Here is a 28,000-nt window from a genome sequence, read left to right as displayed (position 1 = left end):
TCCTTAGGGACCAATGGTGAGAAGATCTTGCGCGACTAGCCCTTGTCGCTGCGGAGCGGAGGCGGGGCGTAGGGCGGGGTCACGTGGGGCTGCGCCCAAGGCTGCCGGGAGCAGACTGGGCTGCGGGCGGCGGGGCCGGCGCCTGCCTGGAGGGATGGGGCTGCCGGGCGCGTAGGGGCCATGCCGCCCGGGACCCGGGCCTGCCGCGTTCCGCGCCCCGGCCGCCGCGCCCCACGTCCGCGCCGGGATGGTGAACCTGGCGGCCATGGTGTGGCGCCGGCTTCTGCGGAAGAGGTGGGTGCTCGCCCTGGTCTTCGGGCTGTCGCTCGTCTACTTCCTCAGCAGCACCTTCAAGCAGGTCAGTGGCCGCCCTTCCCCTCCTCCCCTTCCCTTCTTCCTTCCTTCCTCCCCCTTACTTTACTTTCTCCTTCCTTCCTTCGTTACCTTCCTCCTTTTTTCCTTCCTCCCTGTCTTCCTACCCCTTCCCTTCCTTTCTTTCTCCCCTTCCCTTCCTTCCTCCTTCCTTCCCTTCTTCCTACCTCCCCTCCTTCCTTATCTTCCTCCTTCCTTCCCCTCTCCCTGCCTCCCTTCCTTCCTTACCTTCCTCACCTTCCTCCTCCTTCCTTCCTCCCCCTTTCCTTCCTCCCCCTTCCCTTTCTTCTTTCCTCCCCTTTTTCCTCTCCCTTCCCTTCCGTCTTTCTTCCTTCCCTTCCTCCTTCCGTCCTCCTCCTTTCTGTCCCCCTCTCCCTTCCTTCTTCCTTTACTCCCTTTCTTCCCTGACATCCTCTTTCCTCACTTCGTTCTTCCTCCTTCCTTCCCTTCCTCCTCTTTTTCCTTACTCCTCGCGTTTGTCCGACCTCCCGACTTCTGCAGCGGCGCCGCCGGGGCGTCCGAGGGTGGGGAGAGGTGCGCATTCCTGTCCCGGTCTCAGCACGGGTGAGGGACCTGCCCACCGCCTTGGTCCCTGCAGCGGGAAGGGGTTGCTAGGCCAGGGCAGAGCTGGGACTAGAACCCCGAGTTGAGGACCCTTCAGCGGTGGGGACTGCTTTTATGAACACCTCCCTGCTTTTCACCTGCCCGGTCCAGAGCTAAGAGAGGGCGTGCATTTGCTGGCTTCATCTTCGCAGCAGGCCTGGGAGAAGTGGGGTTCCCAGTATTACAGTGGGGGAAACCAAGACATAGGTGGCGAGGGTCGGCCAGCCCTCGCATGGGTGCCCTTCGTTTAATTTGGGGGCTCTGTGTCCTCCTGGGTGACTCAAAAGGACCCACAGTTCCTTTTATGCTTTTTGTGCATAACTTGATTGGTAGAATTCCACCCCTCCAACACACTGCACCCTTTCATTTTTCTTCCATGTGAGAATTTCTGGGAGAAACAGCAAGGAGCACGGGTGGGGAAATCTTACCCAAAGCATTAATAAGTTTGTCTAGAAGTCCAGGTTGAGTGCTTAGTTGTGTAGAAAGGGTGGTTACACCCCAGGGTGCACCCAGGATAATGGGTTATGCTGTTGTCCTGACATGGTTATAAAAAGCTCTCCTTTTTACTCTCAAAGCTCAAGTGTGTAAATAAAATATATAAGTGAATAGAACATTGATAAAACTATGTGGTCACTCTACATTTAGTGGATTGGCAGGGGAGCTGTGAAAAGGGAAGAATAGGGAATTGTACGTGACCTGCCACCTTAGGCAAACAGAGAGGCTGAGTGTTGTAAGTCCCTTTTATTGGCCGGGATGTCTGGGCAATCATGTGACTACCAGACTTCTGTGACTTGTGTTTTCTGCCACCTCAGACACCTCCTCACAGTCGCGTGTTGTCCCTTCTCTGTCTTGTGACCCCTGAGTGGTGGGGTGCGCCAGGACTCCGTCCTCTGCCTTCCTCTCTATCTGACTCAGGTAATCTCTGGGCCATTGTTTAAATACTCAGGTGATCTCTGGAGGTATGCTGTTGATGCCAGTAGTTGATAACAACAGCCTAGATCTGTCCAGAAATCCCCAAATTCTTATATCCAATTGCCTAGTTGATATCTTTTTTTTTTTTCAATTTTTTTTTATTGTGGTAAAATACGACATAAAATTTCCCATCTTTTTTTTTTTTTTTTTTTTTTTTTTTTAAAGACTGAGTTTTGCTCTTGCCCAGGCTGGAGTGCAGTGGGACGACCTCAACTCACCACAGCCTCCACCTCCCGGGTTCAAATGATTCTCCTGCCTCAGCCTTCTTGAGTAGCTGGGATTACAGGCATGCGCCACCATGCCCAGCTAATTTTGTATTTTTAGTAGAAACGGGGTTTCTCCATGTTGGTCATGGCTGGTCTTGAACTCCCGACCTCAGGTGATCCACCCACCTCAGCCTCCCAAAGTGCTGGGATTACAGGTGTGAGCCACCACGCCTGGCCAGAATTTCCCATCTTAACCTTTTTTAACATGGAGTCTCACTCTGTTACCCAGGCTGGAGTGTAGTGGCATGATCTCAGCTCACTGCAACCTCTACCTCTCGGGTTCAAGCAGTTCTCCCTGCCTTAGCCTCCTGAGTAGCTGGGATTACAGGCATGCACCACCACACCCGACTAATTTTTGTATTTTTAATAGAGACAGGGTTTCGCCATGTTGGCCAGGCTGGTCTCGAACTCCTGACCTCAAGTGATCCACCTGCCTCGGCCTCCCAAAGTGCTGGGATTACAGGTGTCAGCCACCACGCCCGGCCCCATCTTAACCATTTTTAAAGTGTGCAGTTCAGTGGTATTAAATACATCCTTAACGCTGTGCGACCATCACCACCATCCATCCCCATAACGCTTGTAGAAACTGAAACTTAATATTCATTTAACAATAACTCTCCATTTCTCCCTTTCCCCAGCCCCCGGCAACCACCCTCCTACTTTCTAGTTGACGTTGAATGTGTTCGTGTTTGGACCAACAGAACTCTTGATTCTCTGCCAGCACTTGTTCCTCCCCGAGTCTTCCCAGTCTCGCTCAGTGGCATTACTGTTCACCAGGTATTAAAGCCACTTCATTCTTTTTTTCTCCTCTCACTCCCTATATCCACAATATTGGCTCTGCCTCCAGAGTGTATCCTGAATCTGCTCATTTCTTCAGAGTGTCACTGCTGTCACTCTAGGCCAAGCCACTGGCATCTCTCGTCTGGACCACTGCAGTAGCCCAGCTGCAAGTCTCTGCTTCCATTCTTGTCTTCTTCTCTTCCCCGCAGTAGGGGTGATAATCTTTAAAAAGATGGGATCATCATGGCATTTCCCCAGGTAAAATTCTCAGATAAAACTCTGGATTGTCTTCCAGGATCTCTGCATGGTTGAATCTTTTTTGTCATTTCAGGTCAGACTGTTACTGCTTCAGACCATACCTGGTGACACGGTGTAAATTACTTCAATTCCTTGCTCATAAACCTGCTTTATTTTCTTTGTGGTAGGCATCACAAACTGAACATTTCTTGTTCATTTACTTGCTTATCTGTCTTGCCTCACTCTCTCTTCTAGACTATAATATTCTTGAGAACAGAGACCTTGTCTGTCTTGTTCATAGACTCTCCAGCCCCTAGGATACTGCCAGCCACTTCATGGGAATCCAAATATTGATTGAACAAACAAGTGAGTCTTTTTAACTGGGATGAATGTTTCTTTTCAGTCTGGCATACTTCTGCTAACCTTTCACCTCTTGGCTCAGGTGCTGTCCACTCTGTCACCTTCCCTACAACCACCTTTTCACTACCCTGATACATCATCTTCATTTTAAGATTATAGTCATGCGTCGCTCAAGATTCTGAAAAATGCATCTTTAGGTGATTTTGCTACACCCCTGGGCTATGTGGCATAGCCTATTCCTCCTAGGCTCTAAGCCTGTACAGCATGTGACTGTACTGAATACTGTAGGTGATTGCAACACGATGGAAGGTATTTGTGGATCTAAATAGATCTAAACATAGAAAAGGTACAGTAAAAATACTGTATAAAAGATATAAAATGGGCTGGGTGCGATGGCTCACGCCTGTAATCCTAGCAGTTTGGGAGTCTGAGGCAGGCAGATCACTTGACGTCAGGAGTTCGAGACCAGCCTGGCCAACATGGCAAAACCCCATCTCTACTAAAAATATAAAAATTAGCCAGGTGTGGTGGCACACGCCTGTAATCCCAGCTATGCAGGAGGCTGAGGCAGGAGAGTCGCTTGAACCTGGGAGGTGGAGGTTGCAGTGAGCCGAGATCACGCCACTGCACTCCAGCCTGGGCAACAGAGTGAGACTGTGTTTCAAAAAATATAAGAGTAAAAATGGTACGCCCATAAAGAACACTTACCGTGAGTGGAGCTTGCAGGACTGGAAGTTGTTGCGGATGAGTCACTGAGTGAGTGGTGAGTGAACTCGTGAAGGCCTAGCACATTACTGTGTACTACTGTCAGCTGTCCACACAGGGCCACACTACATTGATTTGAAGATTTTTCTTTAATAATAAATTAACATTGGCTTACTGTAATGTTTTTACTTTATAAACTAATTTTTTTAACTTTTTGGCTGTGTTTAACACTTAGCTGAAAACACAAACACATTGTAAAGCTGTACAAAAATATTTTTCTTATTTATATCCTTATTCTATATGCTTTTTTTCCTGTTTTTCTATTTTGTTTTATTACTTTTTAAACTTCTTTGTTAAAAAGTAAGATGAGGCCGGGCGCAGTGGCTCACGCCTGTAATTCCCAGCACTTTGGGAGGGCCGAGGTGGGCAGATCATGAGGTCAGGAGATTGAGATCATCCTGGCTAACACGGTGAAACCCTGTCTCTACTGAAAATACAAAAAATTAACCAGGCTTGGTGGCACGCGCCTGTAGTCCCAGCTACTCAGGAGGCTGAGGCAGGAGAATCGCTTGAACCCAGGAGGCGGAGGTTGCAGTGAGCCGAGATCGCACCAGTGCACTCCAGCGTGGGCGACAGAGACTCCGTCTCAGAAAAGAAAAAAACTAAGACGAGCACACACGTTAGCCTAGGCCTTCACAGGGTCAGGATCACCAGTATCCCTGTCTCCCCCTCCACATCCTGCCTTCTTCTGTGTCCTTCAGTAACACTTAAAACGCTTTTTTCAGATAACCTTACAGATTTATTCCCCATCTTTATTACTGTGCTGTATATTTCCCTGACTAGTGGTTGAAGATGAACATCTTACTGGTTTTGGTAATTTGACTGTTGTGCATCTGAAGTGGCCTTATCATGTCCTTTGACCATTTTACTATTGGATGTCTCTGTCACTTTGTAGGAATTCCTTGTGCTTAGGGCTACTGTTTCTTTGTGATGGCTCAGGCTGGGACTCTGATTCAGGGCCACCTGATTTTAAAGCCCACATTCTCAATTTGTAACCATCATGATAGAGATGAAATGGGTAACATACAACCTTGGTTTTGCTTGCATGGTTTTTATTGTTTTCTTGTTTTGTTTTGTTTGTTTTTTGAGATGGGGTCTCACTCTGTCACCCAGGCTGGAGTGCAGTGATGCAATCTCAGGTCACTGCAACCGCCTCATCCCAGGTTCAAGTGATTCTCCTGCTTCAGCCTCCTGAGTAGCTGGGATTACAGGCGTGCACCACCATGCCTCGCTAATTTTGTATTTTTAGTAGAGACGGGGTTTCGCCATGTTGGCCAGGCTGGTCTCGAACTCCTGACCTCAGATGATCTGCCCGCCTCGGCCTCCCAAAGTGCTGGGATTACAGGCATGAGCCAGTGCGTCCAGCCTTTTGTATTTTTAGTAGAGATGGGGTTTTACTAGGTTGCTCAGGCTGGTATTGAACCCCTGAGCTTAAACAATCCACCCGCCTCGGCCTCCCAAAGTGCTGGGATTACAGGTGTGAGCCACTGTGCCTGGCCGGTATTTTTAAAAAGGGATTAAAAATGTATGAGATTTTATATAAATCCTTTCTTCTGGCTTCTCTTGAAATACCAGGATACTTGTCAGCACTGGGTCTATGTCTGCTCCAGCAGCAGTTGGGGAACTAACTGAGCCAAGCTGCAGTCCTTTAGATCTTGGGATCTGCCCTCCACTGGACCACTCAGTGACTCATTATGTCCTTGCCTGATCTCCTGGGGTAGTAGTTAGCAGGGTTGTTCACAAGGAGTTGGTCATCCTCCTCTGGGTGCATGGTGGGATTGGCTCCCACCCTTTTGGAAGGAGGGTGGCTGTGTGGCCTGCATTGGCTTATACAATGTGAACTGTCACTTGCAGGCAGAAGCCGTGGTGACCGTGGAGGACATGTGCTGAGAGGGGGCCTCATTCAGCCTGAGGGACTAGGATGAGCAGAACCCCTCGGCTTACCCATGTTAGACTTGTAGCATGAGCAAGAAACAATCTTCTGTGAAGCCACTGAGGCTTAGGGTTTTTTTTTAACTTGGTTTTGTTTATTTGTTTGTTTTTGGTACAGGGTCTTGCTCTGTCATCCAGGCTGGGGTAAAGTGGCACCGTCATAGCTCTTTGCAGCCTCGAATTCCTAGGCTCAAGGGATCCTTCCACTTCAGCCTCTCAAGTAGTTGGGACTACAGGCGTGGGCAACCACACCCAGCTAATTAATTAATTTATTTTTTTGGTAGATATGGGCCCTCATTATTTTTTCCAGGCTGGTGTCCAACTCCTGGGTTTAAGCAATGGCCTGGCTCAGCCTCCCAGAGTGCTGGAATCATAGGCATGAGCTACTGCACCCAGCCTTTAGTTTTTTATAATAACCTAACCCACTGGGTTCCAAAATGTGGTCTGTGGACCCCAGAGGGCCCCTGAGACTCTGTCAGGGGATCTGCAAGGCCAGAATTCTTTTCAGAATAACGACAAAATGTTATTTGCTTTTTTCACCTTGTTGACACTTCCACTGATGGTGCAGAAGTCATGGGGGGTCAAGCCAGTACCTTAGCAAGGGTCAAAGCAGCGGCAGCAGACTGTGCTACTAGTTGTCGTATTCTTCACGGCCATACTTGTAGTTTTTTTAAAAAGTACTAATTTCACTTAAGAATAAAGCAGTCAAAATTATTACTTTTGCTAAATTTTGATCCCCAAGTACATATCTTTCCTGTAGAATGAAATGGGAAATATGCCTAACAGTACGTTCTGCCTACAGAAATATGATGGGTGTCTTGAGGAAGAGCTTTGGCAATTGAGCTGCAAGCTTAAGTAGCCACTTTTTTTCATGGAACACTATTTTTTCTTGAAAGAACAACTGATACACTAGTTATTCAGATTTGGGTATTTGGTAGACATTTTCTTGAAAATGAAGTGAGCTTGTTACTTTACAGAAAACATCTGACATTATTTGCCAATGATAATATTTAAGCTTTCAAGTGAAAATTAGAATTTTGGAAAATGCGTATCTGCTACGCTTAGCTTGTAACTTTCTAACACCTAAAGATTAAATCCCTGGTGATATTAACAAGTGTGATTTTTTTTAGTATTGTATAATGAAAATGTGTCAATTAGAAGATCTGCGTAAGATCTGTTCAATGTGCAACACAGACTCATGGATCTGAACAGTTTATGAAAAATTCATTGATATGGTTTCAGATGCCACATTGTGCTGAAGGAACTGGGTTTTTTGGTAAGTTTTATTGAGATATAATTCACATATCATACAGTTCACCCATTTAAAGTATGTAACGCTTGTTTGTAGTATATTCACAGGCTGGGCATGATGGCTCAGCCTGTAATCCCAGCACTTTGGGAGGCTGAGATGGGTGGATCACCTGAGGTCAGGAGTTTCAGACCAGTCTGGCCAACATGGTGAAACCCTGTTTCTACTAAAAATACAAAAATTAGCTGGGTGTGGTGGCAGGTGCCTGTAATCCCAGCTACTCGGGAGTCTGAGTCAGGAGAATCACTTGAACCTGAGGTGGAAGTTGCATTGAGCCAGGATCCACCACCGTACTTCAGCCTGGGTGACAGAGCAAGACTGTCTCAAAAAAAAAATTAAAAAGTAAAAATAAGGCTGGGCGTGGTGGCTCACGCCTGTAATCCCAGCACTTTGGGAGGCCGAGGCGGGTGGATCATGAGATCAGGAGATTGAGACCATCCTGGCTAACACAGTGAAACCCTGTCTCTACTAAAAATACAAAAAATTAGCCGGGCGTGGTGGTGGGTGCCTGTAGTTCCAGCTACTCGGGAGGCTGAGGCAGGAGAATGGCATGAACCTTGGAGGCGGAGCTTGCAGTGAGCCGAGATTTGCGCCACTGCACTCCAGCCTGGGCGACAGAGCGAGACTCCGTCTCAAAAAATAAATAAATAAATAAATAAAAATAAAAACAAAAATAAAAAAGTAGTATATTCACAAACCAGTAGTTTTAAAACATTTTCATCATCATCTTCCCCCTGCCCCTCAGTCCTAAGCAATCAGTAATCTACTTTGTTTCTATAGTTTTGCCTATTTTAGATATTTCATATAATTGGCATTCTATAATATGTGGTCTTTTTTGATTGGCGTTTGCATTTAGCATAATGTTTTCAAAGTTCATCCATGTCCTAGCATGTATTAGCACTTCATTTTTATGTCCGAATAATATTCCATCGTGTGCATCTGTCACATTTTGTTTATTCATTCTTTATTGAGAGACATTTGGGTTGTTTCCACCTTTTAGTTATTATGAATAACGCTGTTGCAGACATTCATTTACAAGTTTTCATGTGGACATGTTTTAATTTCTCTTGGTATATTCCTAGGAGTGGCATTACTGGGTCAGATGGTAAATCTGTGTTAAACTTTTTGAGGAACTGCACAACTGTTTTCCAAACTGGCTGCACTGTGTGCAGTGAACTTTTAGGAACCTGCAGCTGTCAAATTCTGGTGTAGTATTTAGTGTCAAGTATGCTTTAGTATTATCCATAATTTTCTGCAAAAGTTGTTAAAGTAGTCCTCCCTTTTCCAATTACACATTTGTGTGGAATAGATTTTCTTGGTGTATTCCAACCCAGACAATATATTGTGACAGATATTGAATATAGAGGTCGCTTCGGAGATTCAGCTGTCTTCCATCGAGGGAGACATTAAAAAGGTTTGCAGAAATATAAAAACATTGCCCCTCTCCTTACTATTTTTTTAAGTGTTTTTTCACAAAAAACTCATGTACCGAATTCATTGTTGTTATTTTTAAATGAATAAAAACGATCTAAAATAAACATTTTAAGGATTTATGTTTTAATTTTCAATATGGTAAGCATCAATAGCCATAACTCACATAAACCCACATATTGAGGTCCTCAGTAATTTTTAAGATTAGAAAGGGTTCCAGGACCAAAGGCTTTTGAGCCCCGCTGTCCTGGGTGCTCTGGCAGAGGCGCTCCTGCATGCGTCTGACTTGGCCGTCCCTGCTCAGCTGGCCTCAGTTTGGGTGGTCTTCCACTCCCTAGCTGTGGGCCTTGAGGGAGTTGGGGTTCTTCCTCTGTAAAATGGAGATGGTGAGATGGAGTGTACGGGTCCAGGGTGTGTACCGTTGATGGAGAAGACGCTATGAACACTGTGAAGCTCCCCGTGCACCTTAGCTCCGCTGCGGTGAGACTGGAAACTCATGGCGCAGATGCGGCAGCTTTTGCCTGGAGAATAGTTGATTATCCTCTCTGCTGCTTTGAATTCCTCTTTTCTTTGGTTTTCATGTTAATTAATGCTATGGGGGATAACTTAAATTGTAGAGATGGGAGGCAGAAGAAATCAGTGATGATGGTGGGGATGCCATTGAGGGGAGGGTTGGGAATGGTGAATGGTACCAGGTTTCTTGGGTGCATTTATTTAACAAATAACACCAACTGTGTGCCAGGCACTGTTCTGCTGGATGGCAGAGACAGAGTGGGCAAAGCAGATGACGTCTCTCCCCTCCAAGAGCCTATATTCCACTAGCGGGTAAGGAGGAGAGATAGTAAATAAGCAAAATGATTTCAGATAATGATGTATGTTATGAAGAAAACAAAACAGGATGACATGATCTAGTGGCAGGGCGGGCCTAACTATGCGAGGCATTTGACCTGAGATTAAACAAGTTCCCATCTTGGGAGTCAGAAGGGTCCTTAGAGTTCCTCTCGTGTAACCAGATGTTCTCATACGTGTTCAAGTGGTGCAGCTCCTGAAAGTCTCAGGGCTGTTTGCATAACTCCTTGAAAATCTACGAACGTGTTCAGCCTTAAAGGAGCTAAGTGTGTAAATTGGTGCCAAGTTAGATACTGTCTAGAGTGAAGTATATATCATATAATATGAGACTTGCTAATTTGGTGGGGATTTTTTTGTTTTGCACTGATTATTAAGAGAGAGAGATATATATATATTGCAGAATGTTTGTCTCGTATTGCACAGGGTAGAGGAGAGGAACAGTTACCCATAATCTCACTAACCAGAGGCATCCACTGTTCATATTTGGGCATATTTTCTTCCTGCCATTTTTCATCCTTCTTGTTTGTATAGTTGAGGCATACTGTTTCTTCATTTAACATATAAGCATTTCCCTATCTTTAAAAGCTCTTTGGAAATAGGATTTTTATAACTAAAAATTTCCATTATCAGGCTGCATTTAGCCATTTCCCAAATACTAGACATTTGGAGTACCCTCTGGCCTTTCTCCCCCTCCCCTCTTTTTCTGAGGTTCATAAGAGTGCCTTATGTTTCCGTGCTTTACTGCTTACATGGGACATTTATCTCACTTGACCTGTGATAACTCCTGAAAAGTACACAGCACAGTTATGAATACAGCCCTTCTGAAGTGAGACACAAAGCAACGCATTAGTAATCACAGTGTGTTTCTGTAGCTCTTTACAATTAGGAAGAAAGCCCTCATGTACTTTTGGCTCCTGCTCTTCTCTTTGTACCTAGTGCACCCCATGTGGACATGTGTCACAGCATCTGCAGTGCCTGATCGCACTGATATATGGAGGTACCCCTTTCTCAACAGCTCTGAGGCTCTTCGAATACAGAACCAGACTGCCGTTCATCTCTGCATCCTTAGCATTCTGTAAGAACTAGATATCTTTGAATGAATTTCGAGTGAAAAAATATAAATATGAAGAAAAGCTTAAAATTGAGACAACCTAATAGGGTAGGTGAAACAGTTCAGGAAAGGTAGAAAGCTCCCTATCCTGTGAAGGAATGTCCTCAGCACCCTTTGCAAGACTGGGCCTTCAAAAAAGCAAACATTGCTAAGTTATTTCTGCCACATGCTTTCACTGTCCTTTTGGCAAGGTCTTGAATATTCGTGTTTGGAAACGCATTGAAGTGCTGGGAGAATTGCTTTCCTGTTTACCAGGAATGTCATGATGTGGCAGGGGTCCTTCTGGGATGCACTTGACTGTGAACTCTTGTTTTCTTTTGGAAGAACAACAGGATAGCGTGGGAGTAATGTTAAGAGCACTTTTAACCTTGTCGTAAAATCCAGTTTACTGTACTTTGACCAAGCTCTTAATAATCTTTATGGCTATTAATTTATCTAGGGTAGCATTTGCAGCTCAGTTTAGTTTGCACATAGCTTGATGGATGCAGTTAACTGATAGGGTCCCAGTAGAGCAGAAGAGTATGAATTTACAGGTAGTTAAGCAGCATGCACCTAAGTGATTTGTCCCATACTCCCAGGGCTCCTGCACCTAGCTCCTCTTCTTGCAATAACTGAGGAATACAGATGTTGCTTTTGTATAACCGCCCCCCTCCCGGTCCTGCTAGTACCAGTTCTTTCTTTGCAAAGAAACAAAAGGGAGGGAGCAGAATAGAAATTAAAGCCACCTTGAAAGACGGTAAATTAAAGAACAAAATCCGCTACTGGTGGGGTTGTGGTCAAATTGTAAACACTGTTATTTAAATGCTGGTACTATTACAGGTGGTAGATGTAATGTGGGACATTATTTGGCACTACATAGCATTTTACTACAAGTTATTCAAGAGAATTGTTTTAAAAGCTCCACATTTTATTGCAGTATTATCTATGATAACAAAAACCTGGGCCTAATATTGATCTATAGAGGATGTGTTTACTAAATGATGGCACATCAACATGATGGATTATTAGATGGCCTTGAAAATGTGATTATCAAGATAATGTAGGGACTTGGAAATGTTTTACTATCCAATTAGTGTCAAGAAGAGCTGAATGCAAAACATCCTAATTTGTGTAAATGTTGAGGTCAAAAGCTAGAAGTTAATATGCAAAAAGAAATAGAATTTATTTAAGTTGATGGGATTATGGACAATTTTTGCCTTTAATGTTGGTAATCGTGTTTTTCAAACAATTTTTTGAATAATTATATATTTACAGAAAAGTTCTTTTTTTTTTTTTGAGACGGAGTCTCACTTTGTCGCCCAGGCTGGAGTGCAGTGGCGCAATCTTGGCTCACTGCAAGCTCCGCCTCCCGGGTTCATGCCATTCTCCTGCCTCAGCCTCCTGAGTAGCTGGGACTACAGGCGCCCGCCACCACGCCCAGCTAATTTTTTTGTATTTTTAGTAGAGACGGGGTTTCACTGTGTTAGCCAGGATGGTCTCGATCTTCTGAACTCGTGATCCGCCCGCCTTGGCCTCCCAAAGTGTTGGGATTACAGGTGTGAGCCATGGCGCCCGGCCAGAAAAGTACTAAGTATAATAGAAAGTTCTACAGAATCTTTACTTAATTTCCTTCTGTTATTAATAATCCTGTTTTTAATGTTATCACTTTATTTTAAATTAAAAATATTCCCAAAATGATTAAAGATAATTTTAATAACCACATACGTCCCTCCCATGTTAGTAGTCTGTAGTATAGTAGTTCCCCCTTATCTGTTCTGAGACCCTCAGTGGATGCCTGAAACTGCGGCTAGTACCAAACCCTATCCATACTGTTTTTCCACCTGGTAACTGAGTGACTACTAAGTGACTAACATGGATATGCTGGATAAAGGAATGATGCACAGCCCGGGCGGGACGGAATGGGATGGCGTGAGGTTGCACCATGCTACTTAGAACAGTGCTCAATTTAAAACTTAGGAACTGTTTACTTCTGCAGTTTTTTATTTAATATTTTTGGACCACAGTTAACTGCGAGTAACTGTTAAACTTCAGAAAGTAAAACCATGGGTAAGAGAGACTACTGTATATCTTTCCATACCATTATCTTAGCTCTTACAAACTTATATGTGCATATTATCATAATTATTATCATAATATGTGTGATAGGCACATTATTCTGCAACTTGCTTTTTCCCTTGATAATACACTATAGGCATGCAGTGGTCTGCAACCCTGTCTATGTATTAAAATCATCTAGGTACTTTAAAAATACTGATTCCCAGGTCTCCACAGATTTTCCTGCCCATAGGTGGGCTTAGGAATCAGAATTTGTTTTTATGCTCCCTACATTAATCTAATGTGCAAAAGTCAGTTTGTAGAGCTGCTACTCTAGTTAAATAGCTATCAGTCGTATCTCAGTTTGGTTGTAACAGTATTGTTATACCAGTGTTCATTCAGTCATTTCTCTGTTATTGGGGTTTCAGGGGTTTTGTTTGTTTGTTTTTGAGATGGAGTTTTGCTCTTGTCACCCAGGCTGGAGTGCAGTGGTGTGATCTCGGCTCACTGCAACCTTTACCTTCTGGGTTCATGCAATTCTACCACCACGCCCGGCTAATTTTTGTATTTTTAGTGGAGATGGGGTTTCACCATGTTGGCCAGGCTGACCTTGAACTCCTGACCTTAGGTGATCCACCAGCCTCGGCCTCCCCAAAGTGCTGGGATTACAGGCATGAGCCACCACACCCGGCAGGTTTCAGGTTTTTTATACCATCGAAACGATCATGTAGTAAACATCCTTGTATTTCCCTATACATTGGTGTTTTCCATAGGACAGACCTGAGTTTCCTGGGCCAAAGTGTATGTAGACATATATTTTTAAAATACGAACAGAACTTCCTAGATTACTTTCCTAGATAAATTTTAGTAACGATAAAGATCTTTACCATTTTTTAAGTATATAAGCTTCTTCATCAAATTTTCAAGATTAGTCCCTTTTGCTTAAAAAGCAACACATGACAGGTTATTTTGAAAGGTAAAAGCCACAGAACTCCGTTAGAACAGTGAATGTTTCAAGTCCATCATTGTTTTATTATCCAGTAGCTTACTGAAGCGTTCAGAAGAGGCCGTCTCAAGCTCGGCTTGTTTTCTAGCACTTAGGCAGCTTCCTCTTTAGTTTTTTTTTTAACAGTATAGAAAAGATTATAACAGTATAGAAAACAGTATAGAAAAGGCAGTTTTGTAAGCTGGCTCCTAGCGGACATAGCTTCAAGACCAGAAGAGATGATCTTCAACTCTTGACTCCAGGGCAACTCTTCCAATTGCTTGTCCGGGTAGAGGGCTGGCCGGCCTGGGTGTGTTCCGTAGCGGGTTACATACTCAGTGGTCCTTCACAGAAGAAATTCACAAGTTGACATGCTTCATTTTGCTCCTAAAATCAATGTCCTAATTCACGTTTTCCCAAACGTCTTCCACCCAAAGTACCTGTAACTGCAAATGAAAGGGATTTTGTGCTCTAGATGTCTGAGATGAGAGTCACGAAAGTTTCTTCTGCTCTTTAAAAAGTGTATTCACATTTTAAGTTCTGTTCCACAATGTATTTGTTTTAATGTGAAAAATATTTTAAATTACTTGCCATCAGAAAGAAAAAGTCCAAAACTTTTCCTCTCCAATTTTTTCATAAAATTAACACTTTTATACACATTTATGATGTGCATGCCATCCAGGAGCCACGCATGTAAGTATGCCAGTTTTCAAGCATAGCACTAGCTTATTACTTTTTCCTACAGGTTTATTTTATGACTTTGGCTCAGGCTTTGCTTGTACCAGGAGAGGGCAGATTCTGGTAGTGTAAGCCTTTTATAGTATTTCTGTCCTCTTACTGTAGTTTCTGTGAAAAACTGGTGAAATTGTAAGAAAGGATACTGGATACTTAACCTTCTCACTTATGGTTTCTTTGCAGGAGGAGAGGGCAGTGAGAGATAGGAATCTCCTCCAGGTTCATGACCATAATCAGCCCATCCCGTGGAAAGTGCAGTTTAACTTGGGCAATAGCAGTCGTCCGAGCAATCAGTGCCGCAACTCCATTCAAGGGAAGCACCTCATCACGGATGAACTCGGTGAGGCTGGCTTCCCTTCCTCTCCAGGCGGTCAGGAGCGTAGGCTGGTTGGGCCATTCATAGGGTTTTTGTTTGAATAGGGATTCCTCTGCAACACATTTTCTCTCCTCGCTCATCTCCAACATTCCCCAGGTTTTTGTCTTCTATACCCTACTCATCATTCAAGGTTCCCTTCAACATCAGAGAAGCTTGTTTTGATAACTCTAACTCTTAAAAGTTCTTTCTGCCTACAACTTACAACATGAGCACTGTGTCACGCATCAGTCCCCAGGCCCCTTCTGACAATCTCTCCCCAGCCTCACTATTTCCCCATCTTGCCAATCTTTTTTTCTCATCTCGAGGGTGAACTCTATAGGATAAGAGCTCAGTTTTCCTTCTTGGTAACCTGAGTAAAATTCACATTGTGTTGACACTCAAGAAATGTACTTGTTGACTGACCAGAATGCATTCCCAACTCAGCAGTGATGCCAGTGACAAGCTATATTTTTCAGATCACATTGAAAAAGCAAATCATATTGAAAATAATGTGGGTTTTGTTTTTTAATAAGCAGAGTGAAGTTTAGCAAAAGGAAGTTACTTCCATAAGATGACATAGTCAGTGGGCAGACATTGACTTGGAGTTCAGGGCTTCTTACAGGATGTGTGACATTCAGTGAGAAAACATGAAATCTTACACTCTCACTTTAATGTTTTAGTGCTGGGTTGTGAGCACAGTTTGTCATCTTTTATCATAGCTAGTGAAAGAATATTCTTTTGATTAATTTGGGTAAGACAGAGACTCTTGGACTCTTTGAGTAAAAAATTCCAGGAGTGAAGGAATCAATCAATTAATAAAAATCCAAGAGCTATAGGTTTTATTTTTCTCCATGAGTATGGGTGAAGTAAGTAGTTTAGTAAAGAAAGCATGTAAGAACTTACGCTTCTTAGCAAGCAGATGCCACTGTGAATATTGCCGGGGTAACACATTATTAAATAAGATCATTTGCATTTACAAACTTTTCAAAGGCTGGAAGTTAATTTTCAAGGCAATAGCAACACAGTATGAGGTTGTGATCTTACAGGACTCCTTGTTGGAGATAACGTTTGAGTTAGTAGATGTCTGATACAAGATGAGAGTTCTTGATGAGCTTGCTTTCACCAAGCTAGAAAGAGCTGCATTTCAAGGCTGAATACTGTAAGTTGGCAGTGGGGAAAAAAAAGGATGCCTGAGATGCTGACACTTACAAGATGAAAAGTAAAAGGCAGAAAGAGAATTTCAACTGGCAGAGTTTAGGTCACATTATATACAGTTGCTATGTGTTTATTATTTTGAGCAGAATTTTGAGGAAAATGCTAACTAACTTAATTACATTTTGTGTTTGTTTCTAGTCCCTGAAAAGAAAATGAGTAGAAATAGGAAGAATCCCAAGAAACATTTACTATAGCATTAGAATCATCCTCTCTTAATTTAGAAGACAGAATAACATAAACAACAACTACCACAAAAGGCACCGATTCCCAAGTATCTGGAACCCAGTTCTCTATAGACCTCATTTGCCCAAGTCTTAAGTGAGGGCCCTTTTAGTTTCTTTGTTACTGTTGTTCTACTGGTGCCTCCTGCTTTTGAACAGACTTTGTTTTCTAAAGTAGTTTCTGAAAACAACCTTATACTTCAGCAAGTCTCCTTCTCTGAGGATGAAGAAGCTGGGGTGTTTGGAATGCAGTGATGTGGGGAGCAGCTGCTCTGCACCTGTGGGCCTGAACGTGCACCTGGGAGCTCATGTGTGCACCTGGGACTTTCCTCGGGGCCAGTGGTGGCCCTTGTGGACCTATCCTTACATTTTTCTGTCCCATTCCCAGAAGGATGTAGAGAAATGTCTGCTTAGCAGCTCTGAACAATACATTAGCTTTTGTAAGAAGATTTTTTCTCTAAAGTTGGCCATGAATGGGCTGGGTTGGAAGGGGCATGTGTATATAGATGATGAGATTTATAAGAAGTTGAGGGGGGGATTAAGAGGTTTTTTTCTTTCTTGAGTATTAGAGAACTGCATTCCCAAAGGCCAAAGGGTGATTGAGTCCGTGGCACGTACACGTATAAATCAGTTTATAAGGGTTAGATGTGAATATTTCTATTTTTGTAATCTCCAAATTAGTCAGTATGCAGCGAGCATCTGAAAGATATTTGTAAAGAGTGGTTTGTTTGTTAAATCTAGAAGGACCTCACTTTTGTGAATCAGTGCCTCGGTTTTTTTCTGTTTTAAACTTTTTGTTCAAAAAAGAATGACATTTTTCTTCAAGCACAGATGAGACGTTGGCTTGCATAGGTTAGAATAGGAGAACGTAGCCGTAGCTTGACCTGATGATGAAATCAGACATGTGCCAGCCGACTAAACAGTAGGTGTAGGTAGGTTCCGACGTGTAGCCTGGCGATAACAGGGGAGTGCCTGCTTCCTGGAAACGACTGCCTGGGGAAAGTAAGCCCCACTCACATTATGTCCAGTTTCCAGCTCTCCGGTGCTTAGGATGATGCCCCAGACTCCAGCTTCTGTCTGTGTACTTTCACTGCTGCTTCATGGTCATCCCTGGTAGGGAGGTGGCAAGGCTGCTGGTTTTATGCTAAGGTTGGTCTCTGACTTTCAGGCTACGTTTGCGAGAGGAAGGATTTGCTGGTAAATGGCTGCTGTAATGTCAACGTCCCTAGCACGAAGCAGTACTGCTGTGATGGCTGCTGGCCCAACGGCTGCTGCAGCGCCTATGAGTACTGTGTCTCCTGCTGCCTGCAGCCCAACAAGGTATGGGGAGTTGATCCTGGTTCTGCGGCTCCTTTTTTCTTTCGGCCTCTGTTTTATGATGAGCATTAGGCTCTTCATGTGAGATTCCTCTGAAAATAAAACTTAGAAAGGAGCTTTGTAGGTGTCAGAAATTGCTGCACAATAGCTTTTATCTAAGGAAAGGAGGTGGTTCCCAGTTGCTTGAATGGTTCTTTTGCAGAATGGATCATTGTATTGCTAATCACATATCTAATGAATAAGATACCCAGGGTGTTTTGGCATGCACGTGTGTGCACGCGTGTGTCCTTTCCCCTCCCTCCTTTTCTCCTCCTCTTCCCCCCTTCCCTGTATCAGCATTCTCTTAGTTTAGGAGAGATAGCCAAGGTCACCTTGTGCTGGCTTAGGTAATTTATTACAGGCACTAACTTTTGTTTCCATAGCAACTTCTCCTGGAGCGCTTCCTCAACCGGGCAGCCGTGGCATTCCAGAACCTCTTCATGGCAGTCGAAGATCACTTTGAGTTGTGCCTGGCCAAATGCAGGACCTCATCTCAGGTCAGAAGCTGTGATGTCTCTAGCTGTGGGATGGCAGCTGACGGGTTAGAAGGAAACTAGAAAATACACACTGTCGATCCTTTTGGTGGGGTGGTAAGGGAGAAGAGACTCGAAGCCGTGTCACGCTTTGTTTGGTGTGATGATAGTATTTAAAATGTCAACGTGAGATTTATACAAGTTAGGGGAGGTGAAGCATTTATATTAAATCAAGGTCTAATCAACTGGCATCTCTTCTATGTGGTTGGTACATTTGTTCCTTAAGTGGAAGCTTAAAATTATTTTTAAGTCTGGTAGAGTCCTAATAGTCAGCTTCTAAGAGAAGGCCCTCCTCCCTGTCTTTGAAATTTGACTAAGGCTTTCCAGTAACCACTTGTTTAGAGTAAGTAGCAATTTGTTCTGGGATGGAGTCGCTGTTTATTTTAGGATTCAAGGGGATGAGGCAGGTGAATGTTTAAAAATACACGAATAAATCTGTAGGCTGTCAGGCTCTCAATACATATTAGCGTGCTGTCATTAAATGCTTCACTCTTTTGGCATTAAATATTATTGCACCTGCTGCTGAAAGCATCTGAAAGTCTTTTGCCTTTTCATCACTGTCTCCTCGGCTCTCAGCTATTGTGGTTGGGCAGTTGTCATAGCTCTCTTTGTAAAATCACCAGACGTGTTTATTATACAAGCACACTTCTTCTGGCTCCTATTCATGGTGTCTCTAAGATTTTACTGGCTTCGTCTGAGATAACGGACTCATTTGTCATTCTCCAAAGCTCTTGTACCCTTTGCCAGATTTCTGTAGTCCACCTTTGGATTTTATGCCCCTTCTCATGTCTCTGGTTTGTTCTGCGAGCATTCAGTATCATTGGGTAAATGTTTCAGGGATTATAATGAGCATTTGAAAACATTAAGAAATTCCTGATGGTCTTGTTTTGCTTGAAGAGCTTTCCACTTGAATGAGCTTTAAAGGAAATGAGGAGGAAGGCTGAACACATGACTCATTTTGATTCAGATTCTCTCTCATTCTGAGAAACGCTAGAAAAGGCGAAGTATTTTCTTTCCTTCACTGATAAAACCCAGGAATTATTTCCAGTCTTCAGTGAAGCTACTATACTTTAGGACTTGGTCTTTTTTACCATAAAAAGATTTCCCAATTGCCATTTGATTTGTTTTGATAAAAGTATCCCAAGAAAGAGAAGACTTGGCTATATGTCTGTTAAATTGGATGAATATTTACAAGTTTGTTGCTTAGCATTGGTCTTGGACTAATTAATGAATTCTAGACTAGCCAAAAACCCAAGTTGCTTGTATGAAAACAAATTGCTGAAAAATTAGCCATCAGGAATGATTGTCTGCTTTAAATCACACTTCCAATTTGCTTAGCCAAATGAGGCTTGCATGGTATTGTAGGATTTGGCTCATGCCCCAAATTTTTAGGTACATAAACTTTATGAAAGCAATTTAAAGTGCATCTCCTTAGTGTCTCTGCAGGGTTCCTTACGGGAACTGAGTGAAGCTCAGGATCAGGTGCAAAACACCCATTGGATCTTAGACTGTTTCAAGTAATTTGAGGAAAAGTAGTTGTCTTGAGTCACCAGGTCACAGCAAAGTTATTTAAAAACTCACTGGTGTACATAAAAAGAAACAGTCCCACAGCGATGTTATGTCTGTGTTCATGCTCTTCATTGGCATTCTGGGTTGAGCATTCTTCTTTGTTCCAGAAAGTGCCCTGGAGCCTTTAGTGACATTTGGAGATGGACTCGGCCAGCCCCCTGCAGGGAGAGTCTGACAGTCCCGATCCACTCTCACTCTTCCGAGAGGGAGGTGTGTGAAGCTGTGCTCGCTCTCACTGCGCTCTTATTTTCCTTTTGCCAACAGAGCGTGCAGCATGAGAACACCTACCGGGACCCCATAGCAAAGTATTGCTATGGAGAAAGCCCGCCCGAGCTCTTCCCCGCTTGACGGGTGCAGCGGACTTGCTCCAGCCTGGGTGAGGAGGCCCCGCTGAAGAACTCGCCTCCTGGGACCCAGCTTCAGCCATCGGGCCAGGCTGCAGGAAGAAGACAAAGGCAGCGTGAGGAAACCTTGGCTTTGACCCCTTCTCGTGTTGTCATCTTTGGCTTCGCTCACCACCCGGGCTTACCAGATGGAACTCTTCTGTAAAGCAGCTTGGCCCCTCCAGCCAGTCCCATTCGGGAAAGATGAAACCGGAGGCCGGGCTCACGGTGGTGGTGGAGTTCTTGGATGACTCAGCCCTGGGACCTGCACAGGGACCTGTGACTTGTGTTCATCGGGGGCCGGTGTCACTTCCAGTTTTGATCCAGGCTCTTTCACTGTAAAATTATTTATTGGATTCCTTTGGAGTAATGGGAACATTCTAATGTTTTATGTAGGAAAATGCCTTGCCATTCTAGTTGAATATGTTCAAGGAAATTATTTTTGTTGTTGTTCTGTGTTCTCGAGTTTCAGGAGTTAAATCATTCTTCCACCCAGATACAACATTTTCTCTTTTAGGACGTGAATATTCTCTCTAGGCAGTTATTTTTGTTTGTATTTCGACAGTATCAAGCATAGGCCCTGAACGTGACCTGTTAGCCATATCCTGACGTGTAAAATTATCTAAAAACTCAGACACTCTTCCATTCTAATCTAACTGCACGATTTCTAACAGTGGGCACCATGTGCCTGCCCTCAGGTTATTTTCCAGTGGTAGTCGAATGTGCTCATATACCCTATGGAGAGCACTGTTTTAGCAGAAATCTAATTTCTCTTCCTGGAGGAATTTGTTCTCATTTCTTTTGCCACTTAAAATTAACTGTGGGCTACTCAGCCAGGGTACAGTGGGAGCCTCAGGAAGGTCAGAGGCAACCTCCTCCCCTGTTCTATCAATAGAAACCCAACGTTGAGGCAATTCCTAAACAGACGCACCTCGTAGCTTGCTGTATGTGTTTATTCTTTATTGCTTTCAGCTTTGGGGCTGTAACAGGTACAAATATTTGGTTTCCCTATGATTTATAGAGAAGAAGAAGAAACCCAGCTTTCTATCAGAGCACTGCAAGAGAAGAGTCTTACACCTGCCCTCAGTGGGAGATGAGAATGGTCATTATGACTTAGAGAATGCTACACGTGTAGGTTGCTGGTGTGTCCTGAATCCACAGGCATAAAGCACTCCCCATTTTTCCTACTGTAATGCAGATTCTCCGGCTCAAGGTCTAGAATATTTGATCCTAAGATCAAGACATCATGCCCTTCGAATAGTACTGCTCTTTGTTTTCAGGAGTCACGTGAACACACAACTCTCCTATATTCCTCACGAACCTCAGGATTGAGCAAGGTCTTTGTAATTTTTTTGGTTCACTTTATTGACCTGGGAGCAAGGTGCTAATTCTGTGGTCAGTATTCAATGTTTTTTTCAGTGGAGCTTTTTCTTTGGGCCATATTTGCCTTCTAATACATTCCTGCAATATGTAGTGGTGATTTCCCTTAGCTTCCTCCTACTACCTCTTATACTCATCTCCCCAAATTATTTGCCTCCCTTAAATAAGTTTTCCTAGAAGGTAAGCTGGTCAGGCAATTTGAAAAATATTAGATCCCAAGAAATCTATTCCGTTTGCATTGGACTTCTCGGATTCCATGTGTTTGCAGCAGGACTACATCGAACTCTGATGTGCCGGATTGTGGCATGTCTGCATGTCTCATCCATCTATTGTTTTTGGTAACTCAGTTTGGAATTTCAGTGTCTGTCTTCCCTGGGTTGACATTGGAATCAGCCTCTCCTTTGAGCTTATTTTAACTCTTGAGCAACATAACATAGATTTAATGTGAACAGTTTATACCAAAGGGCAGCCTGTGCCTGTTTATGGATCCTCTCTGCCTTTGTACTTGAAGAGCGCATTTTACATTTCCAGTCCTTTCACAGACAGGAGCTCCAACCTTACGATGGAGAATTAAACTTGCTTGTATTTCCACTTTGTGGATGAGGAACTATGAGAGGTGGAGTGACTTCCTGGGTCCCCGCTGAGACTTAGTGACAGATCCCAGACAAGAACTTCATCTCTGACTCCAGGTCTAGTCCTCTTCCCCCTGTCTCTTGCCAACTCCAGCCCTGACACCGTGGGCGTCTCCCCTGAGAGCAGATATATTTCAATTGTCCAGGCCAAAAGAGGGGCGAGGCGGCATAAACACCCAAATTAGGTGGAGGATCCAAAAGTCATTTTCATTTGGCTGTGGAATATGTTTTTTGTATTTCAATCAGCTAGGGGTGTGTTCACTGTTTTTGGAAATTCACAGCGCTTGAGCCTCCATAATGAAGCTGGGCTGCAGAGCACCTGGCACGTGCTCCAGGCTCCCAGCTCCCAACCTAGGACCTCTCCCTGCCCTCCACTCTGGTTGGTTTGTGGTTCCCTCGACCGAGGGTTTCTAGAATCAGGGACCTTGTCTAAGTTTTGTTTGCCCAGAGCCCAGCGAAGTGTGTGATACACCTTGGGAGTTTAGGAGATCACAAAAGGGATGAAAACACCTTTAGAAAACATTTCATTGGTGGGGCGTGGTGGCTTATGCCTGTAATCCCAGCACTTTGGAAGGCTGAGGCAGGTGGATCACCTGAAGGCAGGAGTTCAGACCAGCCTGACCAATATGGTGAAACCCCATCTATACTAAAAATACAAAAATTAGCCGGGTGTGGGGGCGTGTGCCTGTTTTTGTGAGACTCTGTCTCAAAAAAAAGAAAAAAATATTGTTAATAAGTGAGTGTTTTCGGCTCAAGGGAATTGAGTCATACGTTGCATCTCCCCCAGTTCTGCATCTTATTTGCTGCGCTTGCTGGAGTTGTAAAGATTGGTCCTAACAGGGAAAGAAGCACACAAGAGACTGTGAAAAGGGCTCTGAGACAAGCAAGGACAAAAGAGGGAGGGAAATACCTTCCACAGGGCCTGGGATCTGGCAATGCTAGAGCCTTTTTTTTTTTTTTTTTTTTTTGCGATGGAGTCTTGCTCTGTTGCTCAGGCTGGAGTGCAATGGCGTGATCTCAGCTCACTGCAACCTCCCCCTCCTGGGTTCAAGCAATTCTCCTGCCTCAGCCTCCTGAGTAGCTGGGATCACAGGCGTACACCACCACACCCAGCTAAGTTTTTGTACTTTTAGTAGAGACGGGGTTTCACCATGTTGGCCAGGCTGGTCACGGACTCCTGACCTCAGATGATCTGCCCGCCTGAGCCTCCGAAAGTGCTGGGATTACAGGCGTGAGCCACTGCGCCCGGCATGGAGCTGCTATTGATGGGTGAGCTCCACAGCTTTTGCAGAAGCAGAGGATATGACTTGAGAGCAGTGCTGTCACCTCTCAGCATGTCCCCAAGCCCAACTGGGGCCTCCTGGAGATGCCTCAGTCGGCACTGGCCCCAAGGGAATCGTGGGGAACAGTTGCACAATTTGCAAGTTTCTGAGTGCAGCTTTTCCCATCCTTGGGATCAGCAGATAAGTTGTAAACACAGGGAGGTACTGCTTATTGGATATACTTTTCATAAGTAGGACAGAATTCTTTTGGGACTCTAGAGTTGGGAACTACCACTTACTAGCGGCGTGGCTGAGGCAGTCTTCCTCCTCTGTGGCTCAGGCCCTTCATCTGTGAAATGGGGTCACAGCATCTGCCTCTCAGGGTCACTGTGAGGTGTCGATGTGAGCAAGGCCTGAGGCTTGGCAAGAAGTCAATGTCTGCAACTCAGCAGGGAGCAATGGCAGGGGCAGTCAGGGGTCGGCTCGGATAGGGGTGGGTGGGCTCCTGAGGTTGGAAGGGTAGGAATTACAGAGCTCTTGTTACTATTGTTGTTACTGTTTTTAAAGATACGATATTTCAGATAATTCAGGAGCACGTAAGGATGAAACTTAGGATAACCTAAAATCACACAACCTAGAGAGAAGCGCATTTTTGTCTTCCCCCATTTTCTAGGCAAAAATGAAAGTACTTTGTCCTCTTGAAAAACAATTCTCTAATGAATATCCTATGTTACATAGAGGCCTGTGTAATGCATTTGTGTGGCCACATGGTGTCAATTTCATGAATATACAATAATATTATTAATTCCCTGCTGAGGACATTAACTGGTTTCCAAGGCTGCTTGTTGTTTTTGCTACTACAAATAATGCATTGATGATAAATACTTTTACATACATGGTTGTATGTTTATCTGAACTATTTTCACCAATATATTCACCTAGTGTGTATGGAAGTGTCCATTTTTGTCATACCCCTGGTAACCCTGTGATATTATTTTTAAACATTTTGCTAATGGATCTCTGTTCTTGTTTGAATGTATTTAATTTCCAGCAGAATGAGCCCCATTCCTTATTTTGATTGGCCATTTATCATGTACATATGGTGAAATGCCTATTCGTGACTTAGCCAATGTTGTTTCTTTTTCTTACTGATTACTACAGTACATTTTTATATGAAAGCAGCCTTTGTCCCCTTCTCTTGTTTTTCAGCCCTGTGTTAGAAACAACTAAGCTCACATATTCACAAACCAACTTTTCCAGTTCATCTAGGGCAGTGGTGCTCAACAGGGGCAATTTTGCCCCCCAGGGAACATTTGGCAATGTCTGGAGACATTTTTGTCACAGGTGGGGAGGAGGGCAGTACTGTGGGCACTCGTGGAGGGAGGCCAGGGATGGTGCCCAACAGCCCCCACGACACAGAATTACCTGGCTGGAAGTGGGAGCCGGGTGGAGGGAGGGAAGCCCTGCTCTGGGGTCATATCTCCCCGTTAGATTGAACAGAGGAGCTCCTGGTAGCTGAGTGCTGACTTCATTATTTTTCCCCGCCCTTGCTTTCTACCCTGCTGAAGTGCTGCTGATTAAATTACCCTGAAATCCCCACAGGACACATTACTTCCTCACAGGTCTCTACTAGCCCAGCGCTGCCTCAAGGAATGGCATTATTCCTTTGCCACTGTGTCCTCACCGCACTCTTGGACTCCGCCGAATGCAGACACCCTCCTGTCTGCAGAAGGATCTGGAGGGGTAGAACGCTTCCCCTCTACGACGGATTGACTCCCCAGCACCTCACCAGCAGTTCTTTGAATGGAGTGGCTTTGGAGGTGGGAGTTGAGGAAGAAATGTGAGCCTGTCATTACAGGTTCTGTTTAGAAAACTAGTCATTCTACTAAAAAGGTATCACATAAGTAAGTAGGAGCAATAAAAACAAAGAAGATAGTGGGACTCCGAGAAGCTTTCCCCGCCTCTGGCCTGTTAGTCTATCGTTCGTTGGGCAAGGCTCTTCCAGTGTGTGACCTTTTGCGTGTTATCACAGCATGAGTGCAGTTTTGTGTACAGGCATCCCTATATTCAGCATGTATCTGCAACATGCCTTACCTCGTCTGCTGTCACAGAGCAAAGTGGAGCAAGTGGTCGCCGTTGGTCTGCACCTGAGCTGGGAGCCGAGTGGTGACGTGCATATGGGCCGACTGCGTCTCCACAGAACCTACTCAGTGATCTTCCTGTGTACGACTCAGTCCCTGATGTTGGAGTTGAACTGTAGGACTGTCTGTAAAATGAAAGTGCAGACTTTAATGTAGTAAAGAGAATGACTTGCCAGTTACAACCAATGAGCAAAGCAGTTAATTATTCAAATATTTTACCAAGAGTCCAGGTTTATTTTTTCTCAGGACTACACATTCTGTGAGACCAGAGGGACCAAGACATATCACTACCAGAAATGTGTTTTCATCAGCACTGCCAGAGGTTTTCATAGGGTAGTTTACTCTTGGAATTTTTAAATTCATACTTTTTTTTATGCAACGTGGGGTAGGTAAGCTTCTGATCACTGTGCACCCAGATTATCCCAAAATCGAAAGTGGTGTTGGCAGCCGGGTGTGGTGGCTCACACCTGTAATCCCAGCACTTTGGGAGGCCAAGGTGAGAGGATTGCTTGAGCCCAGAATTCGAGACCAGCCTGAGCAACATAGGGAGACCCTGTCTCTACAAAAAATAAAAAAAAGGAGCCAGGCATGGTAGTGCACACCTGTAGTCCCAGCTACTCAGGAGGCTGAGGCGGGAGGATGGCTTGAGTCCAGGAGGTCAAGGCTGCAGTGAGCCGTCATTGCGCCAGTGTGCTCCAACCTGGGCCACAGAGTGAGACCCTGTCTGAGGAGGGGAAAAAAGTGTTGTCTAAATGAGAAATCACCATTATCAGTAATTTAAGATTCCAGGCTATGTTGGTCACATCTCACTATTCTTTTTTTTTTGAAACGGATTCTCGTTCCATCGCCCAGGCTGGAGTGCAGTGGCACGATCTGGGCTCGCTGCAAGCTCTGCCTCCTGGGTTCACGCCATTCTCCTGCCTCAGCCTCCCGAGTAGCTGGGACTACAGGCGCCCGCCACCGTGCCCAGCTAATTTTTGTATTTTTAGTAGAGACGGGGTTTCACCGTGTTAGTAGCCAGGATGGTCTCGATCTCCTGACCTCGTGATCCGCCCACCTCGGCCTCCCAAAGTGCTGGGATTACAGGAGTGAGCCACCGCGCCTGGCCACATCTCACTATTCTTAAGGAAGAGAGAGAGCGAGAGAGAGTGTTGTCCTGTCCTGTGGGGATTGGGGCATTGTATTAAGTTGTACTGGGGGATGTCAAGATAGAAATGTTGAGTAAGTTACTACCTGAATAAATATTTGACCAGTTGATGCTAATTTGAATAGTAAATGTGATGACATTATATATTCTCAGGGATGTTTCCATACATTGGCTCTGTGTGTGCGTGTGTGTGTGTGTGTGTGTGTAACAAAAGCAGTATGAAGTATGTGAGCAATATCCTAATTTTATTGACAAGAGCACTGACCTTAATGACCTTGAGTAAATTACCCTCTCCGGCTTTGGTTTCCTCATTTGTCAATTAAGGGTGATGGCTAGCGTATCTTGCAGATCCAAATTCCAATTTTTGTAACAAGCCAAAAGTCCCCCTGGCTGTTAAAGCAAGACCAGAGCCCTCGTATCCCAGCGGCTGGGTCCCAGGCTTTTGATTTTCACAGGACAAATGTAGCCCAGCCATCTGGAGCCCGTTTTTCTCCAAACCAGGGCTTCCTCCTTCTCTCTTGCAGATTTCAACTGGGGCTCACCATTTTCTGCCTCTTCCTCCTCCAGTTTTAAAGAGACACCATATCCTTCTCTGCTGGGACCAACTTCCCATGTACTGCTGCCCTGCACCTGTGAAAACAGCTGCTGTGTTTTCTGTCATAAAAATAGCTGCCTTTTGGCAGAGAAGCACACAACGGTACTACGTTTCTGAGCCTTAATGCAGTGCTCAATTATTTAGGTGTGCTTCACCTGAGATACACAGAGCATCTTGGAACTCCTACTAAGCAGGGCTTCTACAGGCATTGCTCAGCTCAGTAAAAGGTTTTCCTTTCTCTGCTTTTGTGATTACCAGGCAGAAACCTTAAAATGTATGAACTTACAAAGAAATTAAATTGTGCCAAATTAGATTCCCAGCCCCTAGAGATAACCACTAATTAAAGTTCCGCTGGAGCGTTTTGCCTGTATTTTGTATATAAACGTGGATTTTGTATTTGTATGTAAATAAAGGTAGGACCCTGCTGTCCATATTATTTTAAAATAATTAGCTCCTGTTAGATTGATTTA

General features: G+C 44.3%; 1 protein-coding gene across 5 annotated transcripts, besides 6 other annotated features; it reads left to right on the top strand.

The window, feature by feature from the left end:
• Window positions 1-260: a silencer, noted in NCBI's record as "silent region_4905". NCBI's record gives its function as "represses an Ori minimal core promoter by ATAC-STARR-seq in GM12878 lymphoblastoid cells {active_cell/tissue: GM12878}" and the evidence as "EXISTENCE:reporter gene assay evidence [ECO:0000049][PMID:35858748]".
• SPRING1 (SREBF pathway regulator in golgi 1) lies at window positions 79-27,977 on the top strand. 5 transcript variants are annotated; one of them, XM_024449189.2, is made up of 5 exons: window positions 79-294; window positions 14,925-15,081; window positions 17,701-17,852; window positions 18,272-18,385; window positions 20,255-27,977. In XM_024449189.2, exons 1-5 carry the CDS (start codon window positions 181-183, stop codon window positions 20,336-20,338), a joined length of 621 nt encoding a protein of 206 aa, XP_024304957.1. In that variant the 5' UTR covers window positions 79-180; the 3' UTR covers window positions 20,339-27,977. The 5 variants fall into 5 exon arrangements, with proteins under 5 accessions (XP_024304957.1, NP_079014.1, NP_001340552.1 ...); NM_024738.4 differs by having other exon boundaries at window positions 79-358; NM_001353623.2 differs by lacking the exon at window positions 14,925-15,081 and having other exon boundaries at window positions 79-358.
• Window positions 341-390: a silencer, noted in NCBI's record as "silent region_4904". NCBI's record gives its function as "represses an Ori minimal core promoter by ATAC-STARR-seq in GM12878 lymphoblastoid cells {active_cell/tissue: GM12878}" and the evidence as "EXISTENCE:reporter gene assay evidence [ECO:0000049][PMID:35858748]".
• Window positions 579-1,537: an enhancer, noted in NCBI's record as "H3K27ac-H3K4me1 hESC enhancer chr12:117174416-117175374 (GRCh37/hg19 assembly coordinates)". NCBI's record gives its function as "activates a minimal SCP1, AML or CMV promoter by ChIP-STARR-seq in naive H9 embryonic stem cells {active_cell/tissue: H9 hESC(naive)}" and the evidence as "EXISTENCE:reporter gene assay evidence [ECO:0000049][PMID:30033119]".
• Window positions 11,019-11,520: an enhancer, noted in NCBI's record as "NANOG hESC enhancer chr12:117164433-117164934 (GRCh37/hg19 assembly coordinates)". NCBI's record gives its function as "activates a minimal SCP1, AML or CMV promoter by ChIP-STARR-seq in naive H9 embryonic stem cells {active_cell/tissue: H9 hESC(naive)}" and the evidence as "EXISTENCE:reporter gene assay evidence [ECO:0000049][PMID:30033119]".
• Window positions 19,897-20,426: an enhancer, noted in NCBI's record as "NANOG-H3K4me1 hESC enhancer chr12:117155527-117156056 (GRCh37/hg19 assembly coordinates)". NCBI's record gives its function as "activates a minimal SCP1, AML or CMV promoter by ChIP-STARR-seq in naive H9 embryonic stem cells {active_cell/tissue: H9 hESC(naive)}" and the evidence as "EXISTENCE:reporter gene assay evidence [ECO:0000049][PMID:30033119]".
• Window positions 20,427-20,956: an enhancer, noted in NCBI's record as "H3K4me1 hESC enhancer chr12:117154997-117155526 (GRCh37/hg19 assembly coordinates)". NCBI's record gives its function as "activates a minimal SCP1, AML or CMV promoter by ChIP-STARR-seq in naive H9 embryonic stem cells {active_cell/tissue: H9 hESC(naive)}" and the evidence as "EXISTENCE:reporter gene assay evidence [ECO:0000049][PMID:30033119]".
• Window positions 27,978-28,000: the final 23 nt, after the last annotated feature.

Source organism: Homo sapiens, chromosome 12 (assembly GCF_000001405.40).
Source record: "Homo sapiens chromosome 12, GRCh38.p14 Primary Assembly".
NCBI lineage: Eukaryota > Metazoa > Chordata > Mammalia > Primates > Hominidae > Homo > Homo sapiens.
This window is presented reverse-complemented; position numbering and strand designations above follow the sequence as displayed.